We start from the raw sequence: 12,455 nt of genomic DNA on the forward strand, positions 1-12,455 counted from the left end.
ACTTAGAGAAAGTGGGTGGTTGGCCATTGCTGTAAACACCGTGTGAGTGAGGCAGACACAGGAAGCTGAATTACAAGAAGGTATATTCCTAGATTCCTGCAGAGTGAAGGGTCCTGAATTTTCAACTTCTAGCCTTCTCAGCCCGCAAAATCTGACTCCCGTGCCTGAAACCATTTCTTGACCCTTCCTTCCTTCTTTTCCTTACTTCCTTCCTCTCTCCCTCCCTTCCTTCTTTTCCTTTCTTTCTTCCTTTCCGCCTTCCTTCCTTCCTCCTTTACTTTCCTTTCTTCCTTCCTTCCTTCCCCCTTCCCTTCCTTCCTTCTCTCCCTCCCTCCCTTCCTTCCTCCCTCCTTTCTTCCTTTCCTCCTTCCTTCCCATTCCTTCCTTTCCTCCTTCCTTCTTTCAATTCTTCCTTCTTTCCCTTCCTCCCTCCTTCGTTCCTTCCTTCTTTCCTTCCTTCCTTTCCTCCTTATTTTCTTCCTCATACATTATGACAATAAACTTCCACCACTTGTACTAACCTGAGGAGGCATTTTGCACTTCTTGAGATTATAAGCCCTAAATGACCTCGTCTGCATTTTACAACCTTTAAGAAATGTGGGTTCAGAAAGGCATTTCACAGGCCTAAGGTCTTTCAAAATATTTTCCTGTCTATAGCAACTTGAGTTACAGCACGGCCTTAAAACCCAGAGATTAGACTTAATTTAAGGAGATTGCGTTTAAAAATTAAGCTCGTTTAGCACTGATACATGCTTTGCCAAATATCAGCATTCATATTAGATTTGCCGTCCCCAATATCAAACCAAACGTGTTCCTCTTCTAAAAATTAATCTGGCTTTAATAAACATAGTCATAGCACGGAATTCTCTTAAAAGAAGGGTAGTTTCCAAGCAGGTTTCACTGAGAATCCAGAAAGTGACTCCAACCTCAGAGATGTCCTTAGACCACTGAGGGGTGAAAAGGAGTCTCCTATGGATTGGTCCAGAAGGCTCTCCTCTCTCTCACCTCTACTTTTCCTCCTCCAATTTCAGAGTGAGAAGTCAGGCTCTAGAATTTGGAGAAGATGGAAAGATTGAAAGAAGGAACGAACATCCAAACTTTATGTTCTGTTTATTTCCTCATTTCTAATATCACCACCAAAATGTTAATGCAGCCAAACACTCCCATCAAAAATATTAACTTCACCTGGCTACTATTAAGTAATATATAGCTTGGAGAAGCTTTAGTTTCTCAAATGGATTTTAACTCTTATTGAGTGAAAGGGAAAATCAAGGTGTAGATAGCATATACACATTGAAATATATATATATATATATATATATATAACAGAAATATATATATGTATATACAAAATGATTACAAATTGAAATCTATCTATCTATATATATAAACATATAAACATATATATGTATATACAAAATGATAACAAATTGGGCCGGGCACGGTGGCTCATGCCTGTAATCCCAGCACTTTGGGAGGACGAGGCAGGTGGATCACGAGGTCAGGAGTTCAGGACCAGCCTGGCCAACATGATGAAACCCCGTCTCTACTAAAAATACAAAAATTAGCCGGGCATGGCGGCGTGTGCCTGTAATCCCAGCCACTCGGGAGGCTGAGGCAAAAGAATCGCTTGAACCCGAGAGACAGAGGTTAGAGCGAGTTGAGATCGTGCCACTGCACTCCAGCCTGGGTGGCAGAGTGAGACTCCAGCTCAAAATAATAATAATAAGATTATAAATTAATAGATGATTTGAATGTTTTGTCGAAAATAATCTGTTAGAATATTTCTGAGTAATATTTTCATATAAAACATTTAATGGAAATTGTTTGCAGCATCATGAACATTTTAAAACGTGTTGAATGTTTCTACAGAAGTTCCAGTGTCATATTTCTGTTTCCTTTTCTCTGCCTAATATTGCAAAGCATTTTTCTTCATATCGGTAAATAAATTATCAATATTTCTGTACAAGAAATAATAATTTTCTTAACCAACATGAAAATGGCTGAGCAGAACTTAAAAATATTAGAGAGCTCCTGACAATTTTGAATTACATGAAATTGATGTCATTCAACATTTTTGGACTTAATAAAAAGGAAATTTTACAGGGTTAAAGCAAATAATTTAGAAAATTCTCAAATATTATTTTAACAGTTAAATAGATATGTACTACAGAGCAAAAATATATCCCGTAAAATGCATTTTTTCTTGTTTTCTTTACAGCATTATATTAATATAGAACAAGCAAATTCTTCTATTTTATATGTATTACTTGTTCTCTGATCCCAAACATAAAGAATCCCAGGTAATATCATAAATATGCTTGAAAAGGCGCTAACATGAAAATACACACCTTGAAAACCTTTTTCTAGCAACATTTAAATTTTTTCTAGGCGTAATATTATCCATAGCATCAGGTTATTTCTTTTTCTTTTGAAATGTCAATGTAAGTGTTGGCTGTGTAGAAATATTTTTGGTTGTTACATGCTTGTAGCATTTCAAAGAAAACAGCACCACATCTATCTGTAGAAATGTGAATTTTAAAAACTCATACATAGATAGAAATGTGTGCTAATATTCCCATCTTTACTCAAGTATACATTTAGAACTGTTAAATGAAAGATGAGGATGCCAATCCACTGCTATTTTATAAACCGATAAACTTCATAGTTCAACACAGCACAGCGTTTTTGCCAGCCTGTCACAGCTTCTTTCTGGCAGCCATCAAATGGCGGTAAACCCCATGTAGCCGACAGTCTGTGGGTGTAAAGTGCTTTAAAGCAGTACAGTACAATCACGCAAACGTTATGCTCATTTCTAAAATGTCTTTTGACATCACGGTCCTCTTGGTTTCAGAATATGTTAGTGATTATTGGCCACCCTTCATCTCTGGGAAACATCAGCTCTGGAAGGCACAGAAGCCTTAACAACTTTGTGCGGGCTCCCATGCCACTGGGAACCCAAGCCTCCCTCATCATCACACAATGGTTTCCAGCACCTGCCAACTCTGTTCCCAAGCCACCCAGGCAGGAGGGTGATGGGGACAATTCTCCAGGGGTCTCTCATGCATCTGGTTAGCTGAGATACCAAACTGACTTTTTGGCCTGAACTATTTCTTCCAAGCATGTAGCAAACAGCCTTGGAAGAGAGAGGTGGATGGATATGCACCCTCCTATCTAGCACAGAGACTCGTGCATCTCCTTAGCTAAGGTACCAAACTGACCTTTTGGCCTGAATTATTTCTTCCAAGCAGGTAGCAAACAGCCTCAGAAGAGAGAGGTGGATATGTACCTCCTATCTAGCACAGAGACATTTCCTTTTATCACCTTAATAGGTATTTTCTAAATGTATTTATCATCTGCACATGATGATGATGCATTTAGATGAGGTGGGGATGGGACCTTTGTTTGACTTTGTAAACCTGCTTACGGGAATCCCGTCGAAGCACAGCTGAAAGCGGGACGGGCACTTTACGCTAGTTCCACATGGGTAACCCTGTGGATGAGCATAAAAGGACCATCTTCAGTGCTGACTCCATCATGGAGCAACCGAGCAACCTTGGGAAAGGTACTCAAGCTCCCATGTATACTCTGGGCATGATAGCAGTACTTCATAGGTTTGTTATAAGAGCTCAGAGATTTAACTCGTGTAAAATGATTAAAACAGTGCCTGGTGCTCATAGACATAACCTTAGTTTTTCTACATTGAGTTATTTATATTTATAGGTCGTATAAACCTAGTGCTAGATATGACCTAGTACTGCAGGATTATACGTACACAGAGTACTATAGTGAATATAGTATATGGAAACCTACAGTACAAGGTCACTATGGTGATATATATATAGTATATATAGTGATATACATATAGTGATATATACAGATTATATAGTACCATAGGTCACTATAGCGATAGGTTTCTATGACCTATAAATACTAGATATGACCTAGTACTGTGGGATTATATGTATATATAGTACTATAATGCATATAGTACATGTAAACCTACAGTACTAGGTCACTATGGTGATATATATATAGTACATATATATAGTGATATACATATAGCGATATATACAGATTATATAGTACCATAGGTCACTATAGCGATAGGTTTCTATGACCTATAAATACTAGATATGACCTAGTACTGTAGGATTATATGTACATATAGTACTATAGCGAATATAGTACATGTAAACCTACAGTACTAGGTCACTATGGTGATATATATAGTATATAAAGTGATATACATATAACGATATATACAGATTATATAGTACCATAGGTCACTATAGCGATAGGTTTCTATGACCTATAAATACTAGATATGACTAGATGGAACTGGTGATATAAACCTATCACTAGATATGAGTATCAAGCTAGTATTGCTCTGGTTTGCTTTCCCTTTTTTATGATGTATATAAATTGCATTTAATCATGTAAAGTCCTCATGGTGCCCAGCATAGAGTAGGTCCACATAAATAAATTGTTAATGACTGCTTTGCTTCACTGACTAGTAGTAGTTTTAGCTAAAGAAACAATACCCACATATTGTGATTAGAACTTAGGGGTTTTTTTCATGCAAAAATCACACATTTATTAAACATATTATTAACTGAAAAACAACATACCAGTTTATTTTCAAGTGCTCTTCATCCAACACCTTGGACAAAACCGTCAGCTCAAAGTGAATTCAAAAAACACATTATAAGGCAAACAGTGACAAGAGGTATGGACAGGCACTACCAAAAAAATGCAATTTGTTCTCTAATTAAATAATGTCATTCTCAAGTGATATAGAGCTGTCATCTTGACAGAATTCCTTTTTTGTATAAATATTCATAAATAAAAATGTCTCCACATATTGGAAAGAGCTGCAAACACTCTACAACAGCAGCTTAATGTCTACTTCAGGGGAAAAAAAAGCACTAAAATCCTCTTCCATTGCAAGCTGTTTATTTCTCTGGTGTACCACAGCTAAAGATGAGTTATGATAGCAGCTTGATGTTGATTATGTTATATTCTTTTAATCAAAAAGGAAACACTTATAATATTCTAAGTATCTTTAGCCCAAATACCATGTCATAGTGAGCATTTGTAAATAACCAGACTGTACTGTCCTTCATATGTGAAGCTGACACTACTGATGTGTCAATCAATGCCAAATGTTGGGTAAAGCATTTAATTTTTATTTATTTATTTTCTTGTTGCATGAAAAGGTGATTGCATTCTAACTTTTGTGACCTACCACATTTAAGATGTGTATACGTTGTTCTTTACTTTGTCCCAGAAAAGACATTTTAATCCTGTAGTGACTTTGCTCACTTACACCAGAGAAATAAACAATTTAGTTTTTCACTGGAAGGCTAGCTTAATGGTTTTGTTTTCTCCTAAATACACAGTATATGATACACATCTTTCATCATTTTGTCAGACTGTTAAACCCAGTCCGTTAATACCAATAGCCCTCACTTCTTTCATCATGTCATTAGCATGAATCGTGTCTTCGATGATCCAAATCCAGTCTCAGTAAATAACTGAAATGAAAAAAAAAAGGGACCTCAAACATCTGCCTCGGAGATCTGCACCACTGCAAGAAGGCGGCAAATGGAAGCATAATTCCTTATTATAACCTTCATTTTACTAAAAACCTGAGGGTGAAACGAACTAATTGTATTTACCATTTGCATTTACTATTTATCAAAGCTGAAGTATTTATCTCTTGAGATTCAGTGTACTGATCTACATATTACTGCAATTGCTAAAGAAACTTAAAAACTGTTTCATACCATCATATCATACAAAGGAATGAGCCCTGGGGAAATACATACTTGGACATTTAATGGTAACCAAATTTTTCTGGCTAAGAGGTAAAGTTTTATGCTTACTCTGCCAGATTTTTTCCATTTAAATTAAGTGAACAAAAACAATCCCCCGAATAAAAATTAAATCGGTTTTCCAGCCCTTGAATACCAAGGAATTTTAACAAAACAGCCACATCTCTTTTTTACAAACTTTAAAGAACGACGGGAGGAAATGCTTACTTGAAAGTTTCAGATGATGCTTAGAAAATGTTAACATGGATTTCCATTTTATTATAAACGTTACATTTATTTCCTCATGTTACTGAACATATCATAGTTGGTATCAAAAGAGTACTCACGATGCAAATTGACTTTTTGCTGTTTAACAACCATTTAATGGAACCTGCAATAACTTCTTTACAATGAGAAGCAATTTTGTTAATTGTTGTCATTGTAACTTCTTTAAAGCAATTGTACATCTAGATATGTATTTTAAAACAAAAAAAAATAGGTATAAGTGAAGCTACCTTAAGCCCTGTCATATGTTTTACATAGGCACAAAACCGTTCTATTGATTGATACATTTACCTGTGAACTGCAAGAGACCCCTTATTCCTGATTTTTCCAGAAGATTTTAGAGAAAATTAGGCCTTGTCCTTAAAGCCACTGGTCTATTACCTATGGTGACCCCATCACCTACTTAATACTTCTCAGAATAAACCACATGCAATGTTAAAGTGGCACCTGTTTCCTGCTTGTGTTCTCAGTTTTATAATGCATCAGATTTAAAAATCATGAGAGCTAGTAAGTTCCTAGAAGCAATATATCCTAGAAATTAGGAAGACAGATTCTCTTCTCCGATTTTCTGGACTTTGCTACTTACTGTATCCATGACCTTCACCAAATTACTCAACTCATGCCTTCTTTTGGTTTTCCTCTATACAATATGGTGATAATGAAATTACATACCTCATAATAATTAAGTAAATTAACTTGTGTAAAGCTATTGGAAGCAAGAGTGGAAGACAGTAGGGGGTATAGGGTTAGTTTTAAGCTAGTAATTACCAATATGGTGTGTAGCCCTACTTATGCACACAGGGACTCACACACGATGTGGGTGGGGCTCCAAGTCGGCCTCTTTATCATACCTGACTTTTACTTTTGGAGAAAGGAGCTCAAAATAAAGAGAAGTTTGTGAATTTTCTTCTACCGCCATGGAACTCTCAGGAGTTTTTCTGCAGAGGAGTGTCCTCTTTTGATTGCTATGCTCACAAAGTCAGTCTGGCTGTTGTTTGGAGACACAAGGGAAGCGGAGGTGAGGCAGCGGGGGTTTCAGGCGCTCAGGTGGTGACCTGGGTGGTGCAGAAGTGAAGCCACGTGGACGCATGTGTTTCAGAGGCAGGGCTTGGTGAGGGAATGAGTGTGAGAGCAAGAAAGGAGCTAAGGGTTACAGGAGATACCTGTACGCCTCCTCCGGTTCCTTCCACCCTACAGTGTGTAGCTGGGAATGTCCTAAGGCTCCAAACCAGGCTTCTGCCCACCTTCTTCACCTCTGCTTCTTTTTATTCCCTTCCGTGGACATTTCAGAGCTAACAGTGCGCTCAAATCATGTCTCCTGATCCTCGCCCCCACGGATCATGAAACCAGGTGAATACTGAACTATCTCTATGTACAGGCTGCTGGAATGGACAGAGCCTTGAATTCTCCCTCCACCACGGTACAGTGTACCCCCAGGCAGGCCTTGGCAGCGTTACACAATTGCTGCCTTTTCCTGATGCCCAAAGCACCGGTGTCTAATCAAATCATTTCCAGGCAGCCTTCCCCGCAGCAGCTGAAGACTTCCAACACTTCCCTAGAGGTTTCTGTGATGCCCAGCCACATCTGTGTGCTCACATATGGCAAATTCTTTGATACCTCAAGTTATTTTCTTTGTATTAAACCACTAAGATAAGGAACATAATATCTTCTTCCTAGGATTGCTATTCTAATTGAATCACGTAGCTTAGATAAATGTCTAGAGTGACTCTTCAAAGAGCCGCTCTGGGCCAGGCGCAGTGGCTGATGCCGGCACTTTGGGAGGCCGAGGCGGGTGAATCATGAAGTCAGGAGTTTGAGACCAGCCTGGCCAACATGGTGAAACCCTGTCTCTTCTAAAAATACAAAAATTAGCTGGGTGTGGTGGCGGGTGCCTGTAATCCCAGCTAGTCAGGAGACTGAGGCAGGAGAATCACTTGAACCCAGGAGGGGGAGGTTGCAGTGGACCAAGATCCAGATCACACCACTGCACTTCAGCCCAGGCAACAGTATAAGACTCCCTCTCAAAAAAAAAAAAAAAAAAAAAAAAAGAGTTGCTCTGATTTTCCTCCTATTTTGCCAGGCCAAGTTCTCGCCCCAGCCATCTCTTCTGTAGAAATTGGTCCCAGACGATTCCCGTGTTCCTTCATCTACATCCGTTATTCTTTTCCGCTGCTGTTTGCATCCGGCCTTCTGTTTCATGTCCTGTGCATATCTTCAGGCTCTAAGGGCAGGAGATATCACTTACCAGTCTCACACCAGTAGTTACAAGCCTGATGCCCCATTCAGAGCACACGCTCCAGGACGCTCAGTGAGGGGTTGCGAGTACACAGCTCCTGCCTGTACCAATAATGTCTCTGCCTCGCTGTGCCCATGGAACTCACCATCTCACATGCTGTCCTGATGGAATCCAGGGCACTTTGTTTGCTCCCGTCTTTTCGAAACTCTCTGCTTCTCCCTTCCTTTACCCCCAACCAACGACTTAAAACCTACATTGTGTTTCTTTTCCTCATAATTTTCACATAGTTGGCTCTTTATTTCAGGGTTATGTAATGCCAATCCCTTTTTTGGCAGATATAAACTACTTGCATGGACATTCTAGAGACCAGCTTGCAATGCAGAGGAAAACACTTGAGTGTGTCTAATTCCTCAACCCAGCTATGTGTGGCCTTTACACAGAAATATGGCTCATAGGGACATAAAAAGTAGTTTCTGTTTATGCCGTGAAGGCATTCTGTTCTGGATGTATTCACAAACACCTCAACTTGACGGTGATAGACTGAAGGTTCTTGTTCATTTTGTCAATCTGTGAAGTAACAGGCACATGTGCGAGAAATCCTTAAAGAAATCTAAGGGTAACACATCATTGCTTACAATAAAATTTCACTGAGATGATGTATCTGTGATACCCAAAGAGCTGAATTATTTTCAGGTAAAACAATTTCTATTTAGCTTTAAATGTAATGAAAGTACCCATGTCAGTCAGGACACTGACCTAAAATCAAATAGGTCAGTATAAATATTCGCGACCAACAAGACCGATCTTGTAGGAAACTGGGAGATGTTATTTTAATTAATTTTACAAATTACCAAATTATATTAAATACATTTTGAAAAAAAGTGTCCGATACATCATATTCTGTCGTAGCCAAATAAAACGGAGGTAAGAAGACATTATGTTACTGGCAAAAAAGTAGACAAATGTGTCAATGGAACAGAATACAGAGCCCAGAAATAAACCCACATAAATCTAGTCAATGAACTTCGAGCAGAAGAGCAAACACAACCCAAGAGAGTAAAGATAATCTTTTCAATAAATGGTGCTGGAAAAACTGGATATCTACATTCTAAAAAATAATCCAGACACAGACCTTTTGCCCTTCAGAAAAATTAATCCATTATGTATCACACACCCACATATAAAGTTCAAAAATATAAACTCCTAGAAGATAACATAGGAGAAAATTGTGGTGCCCTTGGGTTTGGTAATGACTTTGTAGATACAAAAACAGAGGCAGGATGCATTTTAAAAAGAACAGATATGTTGAACTTCATTAAAATTAAAGTCCTCAGCTCTGCAGAAGACACTATTAAGAAAATGAAAAGACCAGCCACAGACTAGGAAAAAAGGGTTTGCAAAAGACATATGGGATAAAGAACTGGTATCTAAACTATATAAAGAACTCTTAAAAAAAAAAAAAGGAAGTTAACAACCTGGCTAAAAATGGGCAAAAGGCCTGAACAGACACCTCATGAAAAAAGACAAACAGATGGCAACTGAGCATATGAAAAGATGCTGCACATCATGCATCATCAGAGTATTGCTAATTAAAGCAATAATAAGATACTACTGCACATCTATGAGAATGGCCAAAATCCAGACACTGATAGCACCAGATGCTCGCGACAACGTGGGGCAACAGGAACTCTCACTCATTGCTGGTGGGAATGCAAAATCCTGCAGTCTTCTTTGAAGATAGTCTGATGGTTTCTTAAAAAACTAAAAATACTCTTACCATTCACTCTATCAATCTCAACCTTCGGTATTTACTCAAATATGTTAAAAACTTATGTCTGTATAAAAACCTTGCACACAGATGTTTATAGCAGCTTTATTCACAATTGTAAAACTTGGAAGCAACCCAGATGTTGTCTGTACGTAAACGGGTAAATAAGCCATGGTCCATACAGACAATGGAATATTGTTCAGTACTAAAAAGAAATGAGAGCTAGAGCCATGCAAAATCATGGAGGAAACTTAAACGCTTATTACTAAGTGAAAGAAGCCAATCTGAAAGGCTAGGTGCCAGATGATTCCCAATATATGACATTCTAGTAAAGGTAAAACTATGGAGATGAAAGATCAAGGTCAGTGTTTGTCAGGGGTTGGATGCAGGAAGGCGTGAATGGGTGGAGCACAGGAGACTTTAAGGGCCACAAAAGTCACTTTAGGCGTGAATGGGTGGGCAAAGGAGACTTTAAGTGTGATACTATCATGGTGGATCCCTGTCATTACACATTTGTCCAAGCCCACAGATGGTGCAACACCAAAAATGAGCTCTCATGTGAACGCTGGGCTCTGGGTGATGATGGTATGTCAATGTAGGTGCATCCATTGTAACATGCACCCCACTCTGGTGTGAGGTGTTGATAGTGGGGAGGTATGCACATGTTGCGGACGGTGTGTTTTATGGGAAATCTCTGTGTCTTCCATTCAATTTTGCTGTGAACCTAAAACTACTCTCGAGAACAACGTCTGTCAAACAAAGAAACGAAAGCTCTGAAAATAAAAATTACATTTTATAAAGTGACCTTGTCATTTAGCAAGTCTTTCTCAGATAGTATACAAATTTAAAGTGGGTTTTCCTTTAAAACATGGCATATACTTGACATTTTATGCATAACACCTAGAGAACTTAAAAAAAAAAAAAAAACTGATGATTGGTCTCCACCTAAGACCAGTTGCCTCAGAATCCCTAAGGGTCAAAACTGGACATTAACATTTACTTTAAATCTCTCTAGAGTATTTCAGTGCATACCCAGTAGAGAACCACTGGCATTATAAAAGGGGTATAGGATTTAGAACAAGAGGGAGTAGAATTCCAACTTCAAATCTGCAAATTAGTAGTTTTCACCTCATTTGTGTCCCAGTTTTTCAGGGTTTTTATGAGTTTTGTAGATAAGCTATTTGAAATATTTGGCAGGAAATACAGACTTTAAAAATGGAGGCATCATTATGAATGACCTCCAGGCTGTGTGCAAAAGAAACATTGTCCATAAATGTCTGGGACATTGTTCTTATTAAAATCAACCCCAAACATATACATATTGCCATCTGTTAAGTTCCTATTTTGAGAGAATAGTTCTGTTTAGGACTGAACTCAAAAAACATACCAATGTATCTTGCTATCCTAGCCTCCCATACTATTACTTAATTGCAATAAAATAGTACCGTCTTAAATAGAAAATAACCAAGAAATACTAATGTTGATTCAATATTGTCTGACTCTCAGGAAATGCAATAAAAATGATGAAATAAAGAAAAATAAAAGCTTTTGGGAAGAACTCAACCGCCTTCCATAATTGTTTGTCTATTTATATCTAAGTATATGGATATAAGTTAGTTTAAAATTTTTAACATGACCAAAATACTGTAGACAAAAAGAAGCCAATGATCTGACTTTATTATTGAAGACTATGTGAATCCTTCTGCTAGTATCACTGGCGCAAAAATATCATTGTAAATAAGTAAAAAAATAGCAGATACTGGTGAGGCAGTGGAGAAAAGGGAACACTTGCATGCTGCTGGTGGGAGTGTAAATTAGTTCAGCCATTGTGGAAAGCAGTGTGGTGATTTCTCAAAGAACTTAAAATAGAATGCTCATTCAACCCAGCAATCCCATTACTGGGTATATACCCAAAGGAATATAAATTGTTCTACCATAAAGACACATGCACATGTATGTTCACTGCAGCGCTATTCACAATAGCAAAGATATGGAATCAACCCAAATGCCCATCAGTGGTAGACTGCATACAGCAAATGTGATGCATACACATCATGGAATACTATGCAGCCATAAAAACAGTGAGATCATGTCCTTTACAACATGGATGGAGCTGGAGGTCATTATTCCAAGTGAACTAATGCAGGAACAGAAAACCAAATAGCACATTTTCTCTCCTGTAAGTGGGAGCTAAACATTGAGTCCACACAGACATAAAGAAGGCAGCAACAGACACTGGGGCCTATGGGAGGGTGGAGGGTGGGAGGAAGGTAAGGATTCAAAGACTGTCTCTTGGGTACTATGGTTATTACCTGGCTGAGGAAACTATCTCCACACCAAACCCCTGTGA

The 12,455-nt window shown here is 38.3% G+C and overlaps 1 protein-coding gene across 5 annotated transcripts in view; it reads right to left on the reverse strand.

Moving 5' to 3' along the window:
- The window catches only part of CSMD1 (CUB and Sushi multiple domains 1), a 2,059,554-nt gene that overhangs the window by 103,729 nt on the left and 1,943,370 nt on the right, over nucleotides 1-12,455 (reverse strand). The gene's annotated exons all lie outside the window — the stretch shown is intronic.

The sequence above is a fragment of the Homo sapiens genome, chromosome 8, assembly GCF_000001405.40.
Source record: "Homo sapiens chromosome 8, GRCh38.p14 Primary Assembly".
NCBI classification, from domain to species: domain Eukaryota; kingdom Metazoa; phylum Chordata; class Mammalia; order Primates; family Hominidae; genus Homo; species Homo sapiens.